At 40.7% G+C, this 21,613-nt stretch overlaps 1 protein-coding gene across 4 annotated transcripts, besides 1 other annotated feature; it reads left to right on the top strand.

Moving 5' to 3' along the window:
* Positions 2,279–2,868: an enhancer, noted in NCBI's record as "active region_15035". NCBI's record gives its function as "activates an Ori minimal core promoter by ATAC-STARR-seq in GM12878 lymphoblastoid cells {active_cell/tissue: GM12878}" and the evidence as "EXISTENCE:reporter gene assay evidence [ECO:0000049][PMID:35858748]".
* ZNF432 (zinc finger protein 432) lies at positions 2,651–20,111 on the top strand. 4 transcript variants are annotated; one of them, NM_014650.4, is made up of 5 exons: positions 2,651–2,794; positions 4,429–4,635; positions 9,883–10,009; positions 10,906–11,001; positions 16,049–20,111. In NM_014650.4, the coding sequence occupies exons 2-5, from the start codon at positions 4,621–4,623 to the stop codon at positions 17,767–17,769; spliced, it is 1,959 nt and encodes a 652-aa protein (NP_055465.1). In that variant the 5' UTR covers positions 2,651–2,794; positions 4,429–4,620; the 3' UTR covers positions 17,770–20,111. The 4 variants fall into 4 exon arrangements, with proteins under 4 accessions (NP_055465.1, NP_001309213.1, NP_001309214.1 ...); NM_001322284.2 differs by lacking the exon at positions 2,651–2,794 and adding an exon at positions 2,849–2,880; NM_001322285.1 differs by lacking the exon at positions 2,651–2,794 and adding an exon at positions 2,928–2,948 and having other exon boundaries at positions 16,049–20,110.
* The last annotated feature ends 1,502 nt before the right edge of the window (positions 20,112–21,613 follow it).

The raw sequence follows: 21,613 nt of genomic DNA, 5'->3' as shown, positions 1-21,613 counted from the left end.
GATCCATGGCTTGCATTTGCCTTGATTTTTATGTGTGGTAAAAATAAAAATATAGCAAGTGTATACAAATATTAGGAAATGGGCCAGGTGTTGGAGCTCATTCCTGTAATCCCAGCACTTTCGGAGGCCAAGGCAGGTGGATCACATGAGTTCAGAAGTTTGAGACCAGCATGAACAACATGGTGAAACCATGTCTGTACTAAAAATACAAAAATTAGCTGGGTGTGGTGGTACACCTGTAATCCCAGCTATTTGGGAGGCTGAGGCAGAAGAATTGCTTGAACCCGGGAGACAGAGTTTGCAGTGAGCTGAGATTGCACCACTGCGCACCAACCTGGGTGACAGAGTGAGATGCAGTCTAAAAAAAAACTTATTAAAAAAATATATTATATATATGGAAATAAACAATAATTAGGAAATAAGAATTTCTTATTTGTGCTTAGAATACACAGTGAAGTAAACAGAAAAAAAGAACAACAACAAAAAAGAATACATAGTGAAGTAATTTGAAAAGATTAAATGTTAAGACAGGCATGGTGGCTTATGCCTGTAATCCTGGCACTTTGGAAGGTCGAGGTGGGAGGATTGCTTGAGCCCAAAAGTTCAAGACCAGCCTGGGCAACATGATGAAACATCATCTCCACAAAACATACAAATATCAGCTCTGTTATATATGAAATAAACAGAGTTTTCCAAAGATCTTTTATAAGATGGGAGAAAGGAGATGAAATAGAAGAGAGATTGACTTGGTCCTTCAGGATTGGAATCTGATAGATGGGACACTAGAGGAAGTTTAATGTAATCTTTTTGGCTATCTAGATCTAGTTTTTAGGCCCTGGCTAGAAGCCAGTTAGTTCCTCTTCTAGAATGGCCAATTAAGTCTACAATGCCGGCCACAGTGAGCTTGTGGTATTTAGCTTGCCCTAATCCTATCCCCATATCCTCAGCTTCAAGGTAGCCTTGAAAAGCAACCACCTTTTAACAACAGTAACAGTGAATATCTGCACCCTAGCAGAATATCTGCACTTGAGGAGGTAGAAATGGCTCTGAAAATGGCAGAAATGGCTCTGAAACACCCAAAAGCCTCCATCCCCACAGAATGTTCACTACTAAGCCTGCTTTGCAGCCTGCTGAATAGGTCTATTCTCATAGTATTTCTCTATTTGGCTTGACTTTATTTATGTGAACACTCCTACCCATAGGGCACTTGTCAAAAAACAATCAGCAGCAATTGTTTAACACTAGAGTGTTTAGGGGAGTGACAGTGTGTGTCTGCGTGATAGATGGAAGTAATAAGAGGGCACAGGGGAAAGGGGCCATACGCATAAGATGATGGAACAGAGAGCCTGGAGGGTGGGGTATAGAGAGTGTAGGGGAAGGGAGAAGGCAGACAGGTAAAAGGAAAAAGAATGTTAAGTGTTGTTCAGCCTCAAGACTGACATGATGAAAGTACCTTTATTGTGGTTTTTGTAAATTAGAATGCATGCTTTATTATTAAAAAAAACACAATTGAAAATGTTAAGGACCTTTTCCTCCTTGCTTCTTATAAGAAACCATCATAAGACATAACTTGTAATAATTCTGTAGAAATATACATATATAAAGATATATGTATATATATATTTTAAAATAGTATGTTTTTATTGCAAAATATTCATTAGTGTCATCATATCATAGCCAGATCTACAACCCCAGAGTAATTCCCATGGTTATGTTACATGGCAAAAAGGACTCTGCATTGTAATTAAGTTTATTAATCAGCTGACTTTAGCATTGGGAGATTATTCTGGATTGCCCAAGCACTTAAGAATAGGAGAAACCGGAGAGATGCAGCAGCAATAGTCAGTGGTTTCAAATATGAAAGGGATTTCACATACTATTGTTGGCTTTAAAGATAGGAAGTCGTGGGGGCAAGGAAACTCTCTAAAGGAAATTAATCTGGCAACAACCTAAATAATTCTAGAAAAGGATTCTTTTCCAGAGTCAAGAACAGAGCCAGGTGGTTCTTCTCTTCTAAAGACATTTCCATGGGCCAGTTCCACCGCAAGCTTCTCAGAGAGAATATGTTCTGCCGTACGGACACCGAACGTCCCCTAAGATGGCCGCCCCCATGATGCTCTCCCCTAAGGGCTCTGGCTCCGTTACCTGCAACGCACCGCTCGCTTATTTTTTGTTCTAGTCTCTCTTGCTTCAGTTTTTATACGGCTTCTAAAACGCTTCGCATTTACAATAGTGACTGAGGTGCCCAGAGGTGACTTTAATTTTCCATTGAGCTGAGACGTCACAGCCATCATAACCGCTAAGAAGGGATGCCGCGCCTTTGTGGTAATAATGGGTTCTGGCCTTTGAGAAGTTTGCGCCGTTCACTGTCCCCTGCGAGGAGAAGACTAACTTATTTCTGTTCCGTGTCTGTTCAGAGGACTTTACCCCCACGCCGTGTCTGCCTGTGTGAACTCAAGCCTCTGATAAGCTCTCCATTTTCTGCCAGGGCTGAGGTGTCTGGAAATCGGACAGTTTAAGAGGCCTCCGTCCACCGCGTCTCCCGGCCGCTGTGCCTTCTGTACGTCACGTACTCAAAGATGGCCGCCCCCAGAGCGGCGAGGCGACGCCGGCGCGGACGCGTCTCCTCCTGAGGAAAAGCCGGAAGGCCGCATTCCGCTCTCCATGGAAACGCGGCTGACCGTCTCTGGAGGTTTAGAGGGGGAGGGAGTTGGGCGAGGGGCCCAGAAGTGGAAGAAGTTTAGGGAAGTAAGTTCAGCTTTTAAGAGGTCGCGGCGATTCCAAGGAGAGTCAGGTCAGTGTGTGGGTCAGGGCGTGGAAACGTGGTGGGAGGGAGCTTTCTGAGGGCGTCTGCGTTGTTGGTGGCGCTATATGGTGGAGGTAGCGCGGGGGTTGGGGGAGGCGGGGGCGGGTGTTTCCTTTTGGAGGGGAGCTGGTAGGAGTCCCTGGTGGGTGTCTGTGATAGGATATCTTTGGGGTCCCTCATGGAGGCTCTGGTGGTCAGTGATTAAAGGCCTGAATAGATCAACGACCAAGAGTACTGAGGTCAGGGATTGTGGTCCTCGCGGGTCACTCCCCAGTGGGGCTCAGTGATTGAGAATCGATGGGGTGGCTTTTGTCAACGAATGTGACTTCTGTTTCACATTCTGGATTAATCTGAGGCTTAGTGATTGATGAATCATTAAGGGAATCCAGTGTACGTGTGTGTCTATTCCAGGTTTTCCTATTTTATCTGGCGGGGTGGTGGTCTTTTGTCTAGAGACAAGTGAAAGCCGAAGTCTTTTCACAAGAGCCCTGGCTGGTTTTGTGTGTGTGTGTGTGTGTGTGTGTGTGTGTGTGTGTGTGTGTGTGTGTGTGTGTTGAGCTCAAACTTTGGCTGGAACAGACTTGATGAACGTTAACATTTCCTAAAAGTTTCAGGTCCGAGTACCTCCTCCACAATGAGTTTTCTAATCCTCTGGCTTTCCACAACAACCCATGCTCTTGAACCTGCAGAAAATGAAAGTTTTTTGGGGGTGAAGGGGGGCGGATGAATAGGCTTTCTATTTAACATTATGTTTTTAAATTACTGCGCACAAATTAACAAGAGCCTATTTTTATCCTTCCTCTTGCAAATGTACTGCATATTTTTATGGGTGTTTCAGGTTTTGTATGTTAGTATATAAAGGCGGCTATTTTCCCAGTATTTATATTTTTGAATTGTTTTCTAAATTTGTATTTATAACTCGTATTCCTTTTCTCTGTCTCCCTCTTTTTTTCTATGTGTTTCTTGTTCTTCATATTGAAGTGTGTATATAAACATTTTTTTTTTTTTTTTGAGATGGAGTCTTGCTTTTGTCGCCCAGGCTTGAGTGCAATGGCTGGGCTCACTGCAAACTTCGCCTCCTGCGTTCAAGCCATTCTCCTGCCTCAGTCTCCGAGTAGCTGGGATTACAGGTGCCTGCCACCATGCCTGGCTAATTTTTTCTATTTTTAGTAGAGACAGTGTTTCACCATGTTGACAAGGCTGGTCTCGAACTCCTGACCTCAGGTGATCTGCCCATCTCGGCCTCCCAAAGTGCTGGGATTACAGGTGTAAGCCATCATGCCTGGCCGTATATAAACACTTTTAAATATATATAAAGACTTTTAAAGAGGTGTGAGAGTAACATTGTATAAAGGAAAAAATGTAGTTTCTCACCATCCATATGGCCTGATTTAAAAAACTGATATGAGAATTACCTACTGCTTAGGCATGATGCTATGTGGATTCTCCTTTGTGACCTCCCCTTTCATCTTCATGTTACTTCCACACTTCACCGAAGAAAGGCATTTGGCCTACATTGAGGGTCTTGTGTTTCCTTGGTTTGAGAGAACCAAATAAAGAGACAAATATTCAGGGCCACGTGTTAAGGTGAATGTACCCCTGAAAGTTGTTTTGCTCTTCAGTCCACAGGTCCTGGCTACCCTGGGAAGAGACAAGAAGTAAATGAAGAAAGAGGAAGATTCCAGGACCTAGATATGATTTCTGTGGACACCCTTCACTGGTGACTGAAGTTTCTAAATAGAAATTTAAGGCAGATCCAGAGGAGACAAAGACAGAGTATCCCAGGTGCTGGCCATTTCCCACAACAGAAGAAAATGATCAATGCCCAGGTGACTTTTTCTCTATTTTATTCTCTCCTTTATTCCATAGTGGATTTGTAGAGACCCGTAAGAAATCATTTCAGAATCTAGAGAGAAATAAACTTTAAATCTAACTCCAACATCATGGCAAAGTAAGATCAGGAATATAGTGTTTATGTGATTCCTACAAAATGACTGATGTTGGAAAATAATGCCTGACTAGAAGATCCTTTCCATTACCTTAGCTCTCAGTTTGCATCTGATGTCTCTGACAGCCAGTACAAGAAAGTCACACTAAGTTATACAGTGACTGTGGGGAGAAAGCAGACAGGTTCCTCAGGAGATTATTATTTCATGGCACTTAGATCTCAAGAAAAATTTGCTATTCTTCCCAGAGGTGATATGGTGAACAGTGTTTTGAACTAGCTTTCTAATAAAGGCAGAAGATTTCTTACTGCTGTTTATTACACGGTTCCTCAGAGACTCCTATGGAAATAGACCAGGCAAACTCAGTGGAAACAGTTTTTTTAGGGGACGAAAGCAAGGCCACACACTCAAGTCTTGCGTGTCTGTGTGAGCTTATTTAGGAATAAAATCTAAGTGACCTAGGAAAATGGAAGGTGTGCATAGCTTCCATTTTCCTGAACATGTGGCTGAACTGGCATTAACTGCAGATTTGGCATTAGGGAGTTGTCTGATAAGGTCTTGAGTCGTTGGGTGCCATGTTTGATAACTTCACCTCATCTCAGAATATACAATATCCTTCTGCATTTTCACCTCCAATTCTTGCATACTTATATTGCTTTTATTTTTTGTAATTACATAAATTACTCATGGAATCCAAAGGGAAAAAATTCTTTTTTTTTTTTTTTTTTTGGTTTTTGTTTTTTGAGATGGAATCTCACTCTGTTGCCCAAGCCGGAGTGCAGTGCGTGATCTTGGCTTACTGCAACCTCCACGTCCTGGGTTCAAGGGATTCTTCTGCCTCAGCTTCCTGAGTAGCTGGGATTACAGGTGTGCACTTGCATGCCTGGCTAGTTTTTGTATTTTTAGTAGAGATGGGGTTTTGCCATCTTGGCCAGGCTGGTCTCGAACTCCTGACCTCAGGTGATCCACCCGCCTCGGCCTCCCAAAGTGCTGGGATTACAGGCGTGAGCCACTGCACCTGGCCTCACAGGGAAATAAATTCTGATGATGAAGTACACACTGGTTAAAAAAGTAAATTTCCGGGCCGGGCACAGTGGCTCACGCCTGTAATCCCAGCACTTTTGGAGGCCAACCAGGCGGGTCACCTGAGGTCGGGAGTTCAAGACCAGCCTGACCAACATGGAGAAACCGTATCTCTACTAAAAACACAAAATTAACTGGGTGTGGTGGCGCATGCCTGTAATCCCAGCTACTCAGGAGACTGAGACAGGAGAATCGCTTGAATCCGGGAGGTGGAGGTTGTGGTGAGCCGAGATCATGCCATTGCACTCCAGCCTGGGCAACAAGAGCGAAACTCCGTCTCGAAAAAAAAAAAAAAAAAAAAGGTAAAAAAAGTAAAAGTAGATTCCCTCTTCATAACTTTCTTCCTAATCCTCTTATACTGCTTCAACAAATGTTTGGTAGCACATACTTGCTGTCACTGAAATGTGTGCATCTCTGTATATATGTGTATTTATAAATCCATGTGTTTTATGTATGTGTCTGCATATATAAACACATTTATTATGACTTCTTTTGCTTCAGTGGAATCACATTCCACCTGTTGGTCACCTTAGATCAAGCTTGTACAACCTGTGGCCTGTGGGCTGCATGCAGCTCAGGATGGCTTTGAATGTGGCCCAACACAAATTTGTAAATTTTCTTATAATGAGAATTTTTTGCATTTTTTTCCAGCTATCGTTAGTGTTAGTGTATTTTATGCATGGCCCAACGCATTTCTTCTTCCAGTGTGGCCCAGGGAAGCCAAAAGATTGGACACCCCTACCTTAGGTGGTGTAGTTTTAGAATATAAAGGAATAATCACTGCAATTAATTGAAGAATATTGACTGTATAAAATTCCATTTGTCTAAAGTCATACATGAAAACATTGTTAAACTATGTAAAGTATTTAGATGAGTGCCTGCCACATAGAAACTGATACATGGAGTCCTTTGTGCCTTAAATCTTTGCCAATACTTAAAAATATGACATTATCAAATTATACAATTTTCAATGATCCAATATTCTTTTGTCTTATTTTGCATTTTCCTCATCACAGGTGAGGTTGAAAGCCTTCTTGTGTATTTCTTGGCCAACTGGATTTTTTTCTCTTGTGAAATGCCTGACTTTATGATTTTTACATTAAAAAAACTTTTTTCTTACTGGCTAATGAGTTGCTTATATCTACTATATATTGATCTTTTGTTTATTGCAAAGTTTTTTTTAGCCTGTCATTTTTCTTTCAGCTTTGTTTATGATCTGTTTTTCAATGTAGAAATTAAATTTTTTTTCTCATAAAATTTGTCCCTTTTTTTTCCTTTATGGCTTTTAACATGAATATATTTCGTATTTGCTTCTGCTTCCACAGGTTCTTTTGCTTTCTGGTAAGGACTTTAAACAGGAAAAACTTATTTTTGAGTATGAAATTAGGTAGAAACCTACATTTTTTTTCAAACAGATTTATTTCTCGTGTGAAATAATTCCCGAATGTGATGAGATCAGCAGCATTAAGAATTTGCAGACTTCAGCAAGTCTGTTCTTTTCTCTGTGTATTAATCTCTGTGATTATATGGGGATAGATTATCCCATCAATTTGTGAAGGGGTGGGTTGCCCCTCCACACTTGTGGGTGTTTCTCGTAAGGTGGAACGAGAGACTTGGAAAAGAAAAAGACACAGAGACAAAGTATAGAGAAAGAAATAAGGGGACCCGGGGAACCAGCGTTCAGCATATGGAGGATCCCGCCAGCCTCTGAGTTCCCTTAGTATTTATTGATCATTCATGGGTGTTTCTCCGAGAGGGGGATGTGGCAGGGTCACAAGACAATAGTGGGGAGAGGGTCAGCAGACAAACACGTGAACAAAGGTCTTTGCATCATAGACAAGGTAAAGGATTAAGTGCTGTGCTTTTAGATACGCATACACATAAACATCTCAGTGCTTTACAAAGCAGTATTGCTGCCCGAATGTCCCACCTCCAGCCCTAAGGCGGTTTTCCCCTATCTCAGTAGATGGAGCATACAATCGGGTTTTATACCGAGACATTCCATTGCCCAGGGACGGGCAGGAGACAGATGCCTTCCTCTTGTCTCAACTGCAAGAGGCATGCCTTCCTCTTATACTAATCCTCCTCAGCACAGACCCTTTACGGGTGTCGGGCTGGGGGACGGTCAGGTCTTTCCCTTCCCACGAGGCCATATTTCAGACTATCACATGGGGAGAAACCTTGGACAATACCTGGCTTTCCTAGGCAGAGGTCCCTGCGGCCTTCCGCAGTGTTTGTGTCCCTGGGTACTTGAGATTAGGGAGTGGTGATGACTCTTAAGGAGCATGCTGCCTTTAAGCATCTGTTTAACAAAGCACATCTTGCACCGCCCTTAATCCATTTAACCCTGAGTTTGACACAGCACATGTTTCCGAGAGCACGGGGTTGGGGGTAAGGTCATAGATTAACAGAATCTCAAGGCAGAAGAATTTTTCTTAGTACAGAACAAAATGGAGTCTCCTATGTCTACTTCTTTCTGTACAGACACAGTAACAATCTGATCTCTCTTGCTTTTCCCCACAAATTTGCACCTAGCTCTTTCCTGCCTCAAGTTCCTACTACCATGTGATTATAAGTCATGTTGAGACAGGAGAGTGGCAGTTTAGTTGACAAGAGGGTCTCAATTTATTTTCCAGTGGCATTCAGGGCTAGGCCATACCATACAATTTGCCAATTGCCACAGAATCAGGACATTGAAGACATTATTCTGCACTTTTCTTGCTTCTTTTGTTTCTGTGGAAGTCAGTTGTTAGGACATTTTATTTTTCTTTTGATGGTAATGCATCTTTTCCTTCTATTAACAGTTGTTTGCATAATGTTATATGTGCATCTGATGTTCAATAGTTTCAGTCTGATGTGTCTAGATGCAGATTTTCTGCTTGGCTTTGTTGATTTATTAAATTTGAGTTATAGGATATTTAATCAGTTCTGAAAATTTCTCAGTCAGATATTTGGAAATTGCTTCTCTTATTTGAATATAATATTTCAAAAACTATGTATAGGCATATGTTAGGCCTCACTCTGTCTTCCATATTTAGTAAAGTCTCCTTCATACTTTCTGTCACTTTGTGTCTCTGCTTCATTTTTCAGTTATTTTAATTTTTTGAGATAGGGTCTCACTCTGTCACCCAGGCTGGAGTACAGTGGCATGATCACAGCTCACTGCAGCCTCAACTTCCTGGGCTCCAGCAATCCTCCCACCTCACCCTCCCAAGTAGCTGGGATCACAGGTGTGTGCCACCGCACCTGGTTAATTTTTGTCTTTTTGGTAGAGATAGGATTTCACCATGTTTCCCAGGCTGGTCTTGAACTCCTGAGCTCAAGCTATCCGCCTGCCTCAGCCTCCCAAAGTGCTGGGATTACAGGTGTGAGCCACCACACCTGGCCCTGTTATTTTTTTTACTGTGAATTCCAACTCACTAATTATCTCTTCAGTGTATTTAATATAACCTTTCTGTTAATAGACACATATACCTGTGACTGTATACGTATATATACATAAACATATATTTATATGTATGTGTGCATACATATATATTTAATGTATGTTTCCAAGAATAAGTTTTCCCAATTTGGTTACTCTTTAATAGTTTCTCATGTTTTCTGTACATTTCTATTTTTTAATCCATTTAACAATTAAACATGAATGTAGTATCCTGTGGTTCTAGCATCTGAAGTCTCTCTATGTCTTATGCTAGTATTAGCTGGGAAGGCTTAACAGTGAATGAAACAATTTATATCAGATATCTAGATGTCAGTAGCATATACTTTCTTGACTGGTCAATAGATACCAAAATTAAAATTTATACATAAAACCCGCTTTTACTGAGAGGATTTGATATAAAACCTTAATTTTTGTTGAGCAAATGGGGCACTGTGCAATTATAGAATACTTGGAGATTCTCTGGCAATATTAAAAAATACAATAGACTTATAGATGGATGCAGTCTATATGTTTAATGTGAGCGGGACAACTTCCCTTCACTTTCTTTTCATGTCAGTAAAAGAGAAACACTTCCTATTAAGCAAGGCTCTGTTTTCTTACAGGAATTGCTGACACTGGAGGATGTTACTGTGGAGTTCACCTGGGAGGAGTGGCAGCTCCTGGGCCCTTTTCAGAAGGATTTGTACCGGGATGTGATGTTGGAGATCTACAGCAACCTGCTATCAATGGGTGAGGACAGCTGCTCTGTGTCACCTGGAGGGTGCCCAGTCTGTGGCCTTTGCTTTCTCAGTTGCTTACCCTTGGAAGTTACTGCAGTGCTCTGAATATTAGATTTTTGGCACATCCTCTGGCTTCTGATAAAAGGATATACCGTCACCCCTCAGTGTCCAAGAGGGATTGGTTTCACAACTTTCCATGGATATGAAATCCACAGATGCTCAAGTCTCATATAAAATGGCATTGTATTTGCATATAACCTACACACACCTCCTCCTGAATACTTTAAATCATCTCCAAATTATGCCTGATACTTAATACAATGTAAATGCTATGTACATAGTTGTTATACTATATGTTTTAATTAATTTATTTATTTATTTTTTCTTTAGAGACAGTGTCTCGGTCTTTCACTCAGGCTGGAATGTAGTGGTGCCTTCATGGCTCGCTGCAGCCTTGAACTGGGTTCAAGTGTTCCTCCTGCCTCAGCCTCCTGAGGAACTATGCCTACAGGTGCAAACCACCATGCTTGGCTAATTTTTTTTTTTTTTTGTAGAGATGGAGTCTATGTTGCCCAGGCTGGTCTCCCACTCCTGGCTTCAAATGTTGGTTTCATGTCAGCCTCCCATAGTGCTCGGATTATAGGCAAGAGCCACTGCACTTTGTATTTTTTTTTATTATTGTATTTTTTATTGTTTTTTAAAAAATATTTTCAATCCATGGTTGGTTGAATCCCTGGATGTGAAATTTTCAGATATTAAGGTCTGACTGTAATCTGCCCTTTCCTGAGAGAGAAGCCTCTACTTTCAGATGTGAAAACTGTCTAGTTACTTAAATGTAACATTCTCTCACATTACATACCCCAGCCCAATCCAGTGTGTCTGTCTTCTATTATTTCCCGTAAACAGGTTATCAAGTCAGCAAACCAGATGCACTCTCCAAGTTGGAACGAGGAGAAGAACCATGGACAATGGAAGATGAAAGGCACAGTCGAATCTGTCCAGGTATGTGAGAAGCAGCAAGATGCGTAAGTAATATTATAGTCAGTGAAAGAAGGCTCTGTGGGTGTCTGAGGACACAGAAGCAGTGCCTACATTAGGAATGGGAATCGTTTTCCCTCCACAAGAAACCCTTCCCATCTTATTTTAAGGTTGCATTCTCCTTTAGTACCATACATCTGTCCTGTCTGTGCTGGTGTTGTATTGAATGTCCTCTACCTATGGAGTTCTCTTCTTAAAAGTCTCTACTATTTTTGTTTACTGTTTACCTAGAAAGGACTGTTTTATGTCCTACATCAGTTCTAGACCAAACCAGGTCATAACTTATGTCTGTCTCAGAGTACTTCCTTTGTACATTTGATTTCTACTTTTCCTTTAGTTCATCTTAGACGGTAGCATTGTATTCATTTCCCTAATGTGTTTTTCCCATTATAGATTTGTTTTTTCAACAGCTTAGATAATTTACATACCATACAATTTTCCAATTTAAAGTTTATTTTTCAGTGCTTTGTAGTGTATGAACAGTTATGTAACCATCACCATAGTCAATTTTGGAAGATTTTCAAAGTATCACTTAAAAAAAAAAATTGTTTCCAAGCCCCCAGCCCTAGGCAATCACTAATCTACTTTCTTTTTCTTTTCTTTTCTTTTTTTTTTTTTTTTTTGAGATGGAGTCTCACTCTGTCACCCAGGCTGGAGTGCAATGGTGTGATCTCGGCTCACTGCAACCTCCACCTCCCGGGTTCAAGCGATTCTCCTGCCTCAGGCTCCCAAGTAGCTGGGATTACAGGCGCGCACCATCATGCCCAGCTAATTTGTGTTTTTGTAGAGACAGGGTTTCACCATGTTGGCCAGTTTGGTCTCGTACTCCTGACCTCGTGACCCACCTGCCTCGGCCTCCCAAAGTGCTGGGATTACAGGTGTGAGCCACCGTGCCTGGCCTCTACTTTTTATCCCTATAGATTTGCCTGTTCTGGACATTTTATATAAATAGAATCATGAAATATATGGTCTTTTGTGTCCGGCTTCTTTCATTTAGCATAATGTTTTTGAAATTCTTCCATTCTTTAGCATGTATCAGTGCTTAATTTCTTTTTATTGTTGAATAATATTCCATTGTATGGATATACCACATTTTATTTATCAATTCATCTATTGCATTGACATTTGGGTTATTTCTACTTTTTGGCTTTTATGAATCATGCTGCTATGAACGTTCATGTACAACTTTTTTAGGAACGTATGTTTTCATTTTTCTTGAGCCTTCACCTAGGAGTAGAATTGCCAGGTCATTTGTAGTCCAGGAGGGGGTCCAAGTACAGTACTTCTCTGGTCCTCCTCTCACTGTGGATGTTACATCTCTTCCCAGCCACACAGTGTGTGACAGTACAGAGTATTGACAACTAGGGAAGTTCACTTGAGCCTTTGGTGGCCAGAGTTTTGATTAGGTTTCAGTCACATACAGCCCACATGGCTGACTTTTAGTCTTCAGCCTCTCCTGGAAGTCAGGCTAATACCTAGAGTGTCCAGTTTTTCCAAAGGCTGGAAGTGATATGGCATGGGCCAAAGCCCCTATCACAAATCATATTGTTAAACTGTCCAGTGGCTAAAGCCACCAGGCAAACAAAGACACTCCTATGGGCCAGGACATTCCAGGGGCCTAGAGATCATTTCCTAATAGCTAAGAACAAATGCTAGATCTCTGTTTGGATGAGGTTAGAGCTAGATCCTCACTACACAGAAGATTACCATAAAAATTAACAATAAAGGGGTTAATTAAGGAATACAGAGAACATAGAGCATATGGCAGGATAGTCAGAATTGCAGCAAGAGTATGATGTGCACAAGGCATATCTAGATTTTGAATTAGGAAGATGGTGACATGAATTAAGAATGAAGGCATGGGTCAGGTGCGGTGGCTCATGCCTGTAATCCCAGCACTTTGGGAGGCCTAGGTGGGGGGAACACCTGAGGTCGGGAGTTTGAGACCAGCCTCACCAACATGGAGAATCCCCTTCTCTACTAAAAATACAAAATTAGCCGGGCATGGTGGCACATGCCTGTAATCCCAGCTACTCAGGAAGGCTGAGGCAGGAGAATTGCTTGAACCCAGGAGGCAGAGGTTGTGGTGAGCCAAGATTGTGCCATTGCACTCCAGCCTGGGCAACAAGAGCACAACTCCATCTCAAAAAAAAGAATGAAGGCATGAAATAGGAATTGTGCAAGGCCATGGGCCTGACTATCAAAAGATTGGCTTCAAGTTGGCCAAATACAGGTCAGTGATAGAAGCTGCTTGTTGGAGAAATCGTGGAGCAGAAACATGGTAATATTCATGGTAATGTAAACTTTTTTTTATCAAGATGACTTTTGATTGTATATATGAGTAATTGAGGTAGCATGGTTGAGGGTTGGTTAATTTTATATTTTTGTCTTTTCATAAAATATGTTGCTAGTCTTGACCTTTCACTTGGATGACAGCAGTGTAGCAATAATAAGAAACAGCTAAATATCTTAAGAAAAACTGAAGGTGAAGATGCCACAACCTTTGTCTAGAAGAAGTTTATCCTTTAGTACAACTTAACTGATGCTGAGACATAAATGTAGCTTACTGAAGTAGATGTTATTGGTGGCAGATGAGGAAACAGTGTATCAGGGACATTGAAATGGGAAAAATTGGATATGACCTTTTTTTTTTTTTTTTTTTAAGGTAGAGTCTCACTTTGTTGCTCAGGCTGGAGTGCAGTGGCACGATTTTGGCTCACTGCAGCCTCAACCTCCTGGGCTCAAGCGATCCTCCCACCTCAACATCCCAAGTAGCTGAAACTACAGGCGCATATCACCATGCATGCCTGGCTAATTTTTGTATTTTGTGTTTCACCATGTTGCCCAGGCTGGTCTGGAACTCCAGAGCTCAAGTGATCTGCCCACCTTGACCTCCTAAAGTGCTGGGATTACAGGTGTGAGCCACCGTGCCTGGCCTTGATACGACTTTTCTACTGCATGCAGAATGTGATTGAAGAAAATGACAGTTTTCATATCCCATGCAGCAGCACATTTTCTTCTGAAGGCAACTACATGGTACACTGGCCAGTTGCAAAATTCCCTATCATTGTTTTCCTGTTTCATAATTAATGAAACATATGATAACGCAACACAGCTAAACCAAAGGGTGGAGTGTTGACTATAGGAGTTGTTCATTAAACGTGATGGATGTTTTTGGAAAGTTAGATGGTAGTCTACAGATTGAAGAGGGGCAAATTTAGTAACAATTACCACACAAGAGTCTATCTCAGTTGACTTAATTTCAACAGATGGAGATTTCCAATTCTTACTTGCCAGGCAACATGTACGTGAATGTATTTATTCTATATATCTCAGTAAGCATATTACCCTGATCTTTGTATTCACAGTTTGGTTCCTCTAACAGGGCTTAAATAATCCCAAAACCACATGTTGGAATGTCTACAACCTTGGTTCTGTACCTTCATCTTTCATTCTACATGTCTTCTCAACATGGTATCCTGGCTCAGTGCCTTGGCTCACACCTATAGTCCCAGCACTTTGGGAAGCAGAGGTGGGCAGATCACTTGAGCCCAAGAGTTCAAGACCAGCTTGGGCAATATGGCAAGACTCCATCTCTACAAACAATACAAAAATCAATCAGGCATGGTTGCATGTGCCTGTAGTCCCGGCTACTCAGGAGGCTGAGGTGGGAGAATTGCTTGAGCCTGGGAGGTGGAGGTTGCAGTGATGCAAGATTGTGCCACTGCATGCCAGCCTGGGTGACAGTGAGACCCTGTCTCAAAAAAAAAAAAGTCATTCAGTCCTTTTTTCTCAAATAATATGTATGTACTGATTATTTCCATGCTGCCTTCTCCATTTATACCTCCAACCAGATTCTTGATGTCTGTGTTACATATTTGATAACCATTTCAAAGTGTGTTTCACAGTATATACTTTACATGTGCTGGACTGCAGTAATATTTGCCATCTCATTATCAGATGCTGTCATCTACCCAGTGGCTCAAGCCATATAGTTAGTAATCTTTGAGCCCTCACTTTCCTCACTCTCCCCATTGAATTCATCATTTAACCTTGTCTTTTCTTTATACAAAAATATCCTGCTTTTCTCCAACTCTCATCATCTACACTGCTCCATCAAACCACACTTAACATCACCAACTCCCTTCTTTTTTTGTTCCTTCGTATTGTTTTTCCTAATTAGAATTCAGCATGAGTGAAAAGAAGGCATATTTTGTGTATCCCAAATGCCAGCAGAGTGCCTTGTCCATAGGAGTCATTTGACAAATAACTAGTGGAGTGAATAAATACAACCCTCAGAATTGTGAATCAGTTGCCTTTTCCACCTTTGTGGTCTGGTGTCTCCCAAAATTTTGTGGAATGGTGTTCCTCCAAGCCCTGTTGTTTGCTTGTAATAATGACTTGCTTGTATTTTACTGTGTCCGCATGTTTTGCAAGGTCCTGTTTAGAAAGCTGTCAAATCGATATAGATTGTCAACTGCCTCACCTTATTTGCACACAGACTGCTTTTACTTTTTGGTTTGTTTATATTATTATGTTTTTACCAAAGTGTATACATGAAGTTGCTTTTATACTATTATTGTAGTATTGTCATTAAATAGCGATATTTAAAAACACCTGGCCAGGTGTGGTAGCTCATGCCTGTAATCCCAGCATTTTGAGAGGCCGACGTAGGGGTATCACTGGAGGTCAGGAGTTCAAGACCAGCCTGGCCAACATATTGAAACCCTGTCTCTACTAAAAATACAAAAATTAGCTAGGCATGATGGCACATGCCTGTAATCCCAGCTACTTGGGAGGCTGAGGCAGGAGAATTGGTTGAACCCAGGAGGCGGAGGTTGCAGTGAGCTGAGATCATACCACTGCACTCCAGCCTGGGTAACAGAGCGAGACTCTGTCTCAAAAAATAATAATAATAAACAAAATAAAACACCAAGGATTTTTTTTTCTAAGAAGACAGTTTTATCCCCAACAAGATTATAAAAGGATTCATTGTTCTCTTCTTTCCTAGAAAACAACGAAGTTGATGATCATCTGCAGGATCACTTGGAAAATCAAAGGATGCTGAAGAGTGTGGAACAATACCATGAACATAATGCATTTGGAAATACTGCCTCTCAAACCAAAAGCCTTTGTCTTTTCAGGGAAAATCATGATACATTTGAGTTATATATAAAAACTTTGAAATCAAATTTAAGTTTAGTCAACCAGAACAAAAGCTGTGAAATTAACAACTCTACTAAATTTAGTGGAGATGGGAAATCATTTCTTCATGGTAACTATGAAGAACTTTATTCTGCAGCTAAATTCTCTGTAAGTACAAAAGCCAATAGCACTAAATCCCAAGTCAGTAAGCATCAGAGAACTCATGAAATAGAAAAAAACCACGTATGCAGTGAATGTGGGAAAGCGTTTGTCAAGAAGTCTCAGCTCACTGATCATGAGAGAGTTCATACAGGAGAAAAACCTTATGGATGTACTTTGTGTGCAAAAGTGTTCTCCAGAAAGTCCAGGCTAAATGAACATCAAAGAATTCATAAAAGAGAGAAATCTTTTATATGCAGTGAATGTGGAAAAGTCTTCACTATGAAGAGCCGTCTGATTGAACATCAGCGAACTCATACTGGAGAGAAACCCTACATATGCAATGAATGTGGAAAAGGCTTCCCAGGCAAGCGTAATCTCATTGTACATCAGCGAAATCATACTGGAGAGAAATCCTATATATGTAGTGAATGTGGAAAAGGCTTCACTGGGAAGAGCATGCTTATTATACATCAGCGAACTCATACAGGAGAGAAGCCCTACATCTGTAGTGAATGTGGGAAAGGCTTCACCACAAAACACTATGTCATCATACATCAACGAAATCATACAGGAGAGAAACCATATATATGCAATGAATGTGGGAAAGGCTTCACCATGAAGAGCCGTATGATCGAACATCAACGAACTCATACAGGAGAGAAACCCTACATATGCAGTGAATGTGGAAAAGGCTTTCCCAGGAAGAGTAATCTTATTGTACATCAGAGAAATCATACAGTAGAGAAGTCATATCTATGTAGTGAATGTGGAAAAGGTTTTACTGTGAAAAGCATGCTCATCATACATCAGCGAACTCATACAGGAGAGAAGCCCTACACATGCAGTGAATGTGGGAAAGGCTTCCCCTTGAAGAGTCGGCTGATTGTACATCAGCGAACTCATACTGGAGAGAAACCTTACAGGTGCAGTGAATGTGGGAAAGGTTTCATTGTGAATAGCGGACTGATGTTACATCAGCGAACTCATACTGGAGAGAAACCGTACATATGCAATGAATGTGGAAAAGGTTTTGCCTTTAAGAGCAATCTTGTTGTACACCAGCGAACTCATACTGGAGAGAAACCCTTTATGTGCAGTGAATGTGGAAAAGGCTTCACCATGAAACGCTATCTCATTGTACATCAGCAAATTCATACAGAAGAGAAATCTTGTATATGTAGTGAATGTGGAAGAGGCTTTGCCAAGGAAACAGAGCTTGCTTTACATAAGCAAGTTCATACTGGAGAAAAACCTTATGGATGTAATGAATGTGGTAAAGGCTTCACTATGAAGAGCCGTCTAATTGTTCATCAACGAACTCATACAGGAGAGAAACCCTTTGTATGCAGTGAATGTAGAAAAGCCTTCTCCTCAAAGAGAAATCTCATTGTACATCAGCGAACTCATAATGGAAACAAACCCTGACAATGCAGTGGACATGTTCATGCCTTTGGGAAGAAAATCTGCCTTGTACAACATCAGAGATTTCACAGTATAGATTTTCTACATGTGTACTGAGTATGAAAAATCATATTTCAAAATCCAGTGTTATTCACTAGGATGAATGCTATCAATGTCAGAAAGGCTTCAACATGAATTCAGGCTCTGAATTCTTTGATGTACCAATGTATAGAAAATTACTCATCTGAGAGAGAGTCTGTGGATTGGGGGTAACCTTTCATTTGTCAACCTTCATTAAAACTATGACAACGTCCACATGACAAATGTGTAAGGTACATAGTCCTTTTGCAGAGAATCTGAACTGATTACATACAAACAAATTCATGCAGAGAGAAAACCACGTTAGTAATGTGAACTGATTAAACAGCAGTGTGCTCCTAGCATACATGCATATAGGCAGTGTAGAGCAGCCTGTTGCTAGATTTTCACCCTTGGAAGACAATGCAATTTCCAGGAGCGAATTTTAATGAATGCAGAGAATGCACTAGTGCCTTCGGTGATTAATTACCTCATATTTTATGTCACAATAAACATGTAGGAAATAAACTTGATACATCCAATGCAGAAAAGTCTTGAAAATTTTCTAAGTAACTATGTCTTGAAAAGTATTTACTGAGATAAATCTTACAAAGGAGTAGGCTAGGAAAGCCTTCTATGGGAAGAAAGACCCTATCTCTTCAGTGATCATAATAGATCATCAATGAACTTACACATACTAGCAGCATTATCATGGGAAAGCCTTTGCCCAGAAATAAAACCTTAACAGTTGGCAGATATATTTCATACTGGAGAACAAGTTTCAGATGGCAGTGAATACACGAGGATTTCAGTGATACATGCTGCCTCATCATCATTACTTCATACAGAAATAAAACTTATATGAAGAGTAACTTTAAAAAGGATCAGGAAATTCATGAAGTAAAAAAGTCTCATGAAAATGATACATAATGCCGGGCATGGTGGCTTGCACCTGTAATCCCAGCACTTTGGGAGGCCAAGGTGGGTGGATCACTTGAGGTCGGGAGTTCGAGACCAGCCTGACCAACATGGTGAAGCCCCCCTCTCTACTAAAAATACAAAATTAGCCGAGCATGGTGGCTCACGCTTGTAATCCCAGCTACTCTGGAGGCTAAGCTGGAGAATCACTTGAACCTGGGAGGCAGAGGTTTCAGTGAGCCAAGATTGCGCCATTGCATTCCAGCCTGGGCAACAAGAGCGAAACTCTGCCTCAAAAAAAAAAAAAAAAAACCATATTTGAGGACTGTCACAAATCTAAACTCATGATACACTTGATATCTATTCTGTGACAGCATACCTTGCATCATATTATCAATGATTCCATAATTGTAAAGCGGGCTGTTCTTATCACTGATTAAATTTTAATCCTATATATAACACAGGTGTTTTCTGTGCCAATCTGGTGTTATTTATTAGTTCTTACATATTATAGGCCCCAAATTTATTTTTTTCAATTTACTGATAAATGTAATTCAGTATATTTGGATGTGTTTATCCAAGTTACTAGGTACCATTATGTAGTTTACAAAAATGCCTTAAATGTTATTTTTCTAAAATTTGTTTTGAAATAATTCTAGATTCACAAGAGATTACAAAATATACAAAAGTTTCCTGAGTATTCTTTGCTTAGCATCATCAATGTTATCTTACATAACCATAATAATAAAAACCACGGAGTTCTGCTCTTGTTGCCCAGGTTGGAGTGTAATAGCACGATCTTGGCTCACTGCAACCCCGCCTCCCAGGTTCAAGAGATTTTCCTGCCTCAGCCTCCTAAGTAGCTGGGATTACAGGCACCCACGACCACGCTCGACTAATTTTTGTATTTTTAGTAGAGACGGGGTTTCACTGTGTTGGCCAGGCTGGCCTTGAACTCTCGACCCCGGGCGGTCCACCCGCCTCAGCCTCCCAAAGTGCTGGGATTACAGGCATGAGCCACCACGCCTGGCCTCCTCTTGCTACCTCTTTATACTCACACTGTCCTCCCAATATGACCCATGGTAGCCACTGATCCCATTACCCTAATTTTGTTATTTCAAGAATGCTATTAAAATGGAATCGTAAGGTACGCAAGCTTTGAGATAGGGCTTTGTTCACTCAGCAAATTACCCTTAAGATCTATCCAAGTTGTTAGGTGTCTAAATAGTTTTAATTTTTGTTACTGAGTTAGTATTCTTTTAAATGGATGCACCAGGGTTTGTGTATCCATTCACTGTTGATGGACATTTGGGTTGTTTCCAGTGTTTTGCTGTTATAAATAAAGATGCTGTGACTATTTGTGTACCCGATATTGTGCGAACGTTAAGTTTTTATATATTTGGGATAGACACTGGGGGCATGACTGCTGGCGAATATGGTAAATGTGTTTAACTTTATAAGAAATGGCCAAACTCTTTCCCAGAGTGGCTGTACTAGTTTACATTCCCACCACCAATGTGTAAGCATTCCATGCCCTTTCTAGCTCTTGGCATTGCCAGTGTGCTTTAGCTTTCCTATTAGGTGTGTGGTGGTATATGATCATGGCCTCAACTTACACACCCCTAACACAAAATGATATTAAGCATCTCTACATCCACTGAGAACCATATCAAGTAAAATTGTAACTTTTGCTTCCAACCAGCAAACCCAATGTTTAAAACTCAAAAGAATATTATATTTTATAATATATTTACCCTTTCTGTTCCTTTTTCTTCATTCCTGATGTAATATTTCCTTTAGTTATTTCCTTTTTGTGCGAACTTCCTTAATCATTTCTCTTTGAGCAGGCCTGGTGGCAAAAAATTATTAGTTTCCCTAGAAACAGGGTTCCTGTTTTCTCTATCCAGAGTTATTTCCCTTGATCTAATGAGATTTAATCCAGTTTATAAATGGTGAGTTCTCTTTATAAAAGTAATAGACATTTGCCATATAGTATTGTGGCAGAATTCAATCCCTGACTCCATATTGAGTAATTTACTTCTTTGAAAATATTTTTTGAGCTTCTACACCATGGCAGGCATGTTGTAGGCAATGGAGACACATCAATGAACAAAACAGGCAAAGTGCTGGCTTTGATATGACATACAGTCTGGTGAAGGAGACTGAGTAAGATAAATACAAAATCGAATTCAGTTAAGTGCTAGGAAGAAATATAAAGCCTGGTAAGTTCATAGATTGTAACCTGAGTTATTTTAGGAAGAGTTTTCAGGATAGGCTTTTCTGTGCAGATATAATTTGAACCAAAGCCTAAATATACTGTGGGGACACAGCCATCATATTTTTAAGTCCAGAACACTATAGAACTTTCTAAGTGTTTTCTTTGGGGTTCCTGCCTCAGCATTCTCTGAGAAGCTTGTAAAAGAAGGCAAATTCTTGAGTCACTCCCCAGACATTCCAAGCTAGAATTTCTGGGGATGGGGTTCGGACTCTGCATTTATAAAAAGAGCCTTCTTAAATTTGAACATCTCTGCCCTAAATTGTGGATTGGTGCTCCCATCACCATTCCCACACTGTAACAGGATGGATTCAGGGCAGATTGTCTCCAGCAATGAATCAGACAAAAGTGCTCCACCAACCAGGCCCTTGAATCACCTTCCTTGTCCCGTGAATCAGCACAGCCTGCCACGGCAAAGTTTTATCAGCCCACTCCTGGAAATGATCAGTGAAGGTCCCATCATGGGCTGCTCATAGTCCTGTGGACCAGGTGCTAAACTTACCTACCAGAGATTAACATTCCAGATGAACGGGGCTGAAATTTAATCCTGGATGGAATATGTTATAACACTCAAGAAATACGAACATGAAATTCTTA

This window comes from Homo sapiens, chromosome 19 (genome assembly GCF_000001405.40).
Source record: "Homo sapiens chromosome 19, GRCh38.p14 Primary Assembly".
NCBI classification, from domain to species: Eukaryota; Metazoa; Chordata; class Mammalia; order Primates; family Hominidae; genus Homo; species Homo sapiens.
Note: the sequence above shows the minus strand (reverse complement) of the source record. Positions and strands in the feature narration are given on the sequence as shown.

Bases quoted from the DNA above. Each gene is read 5' to 3' on its own strand.
- ZNF432 (NM_014650.4), top strand. The intron at 10,010-10,905 runs GTGAGGACAGCT...TCCCGTAAACAG, and splicing joins CAGCAACCTGCTATCAATGG to GTTATCAAGTCAGCAAACCA. The intron at 11,002-16,048 runs GTATGTGAGAAG...CTTCTTTCCTAG, and splicing joins GCACAGTCGAATCTGTCCAG to AAAACAACGAAGTTGATGAT.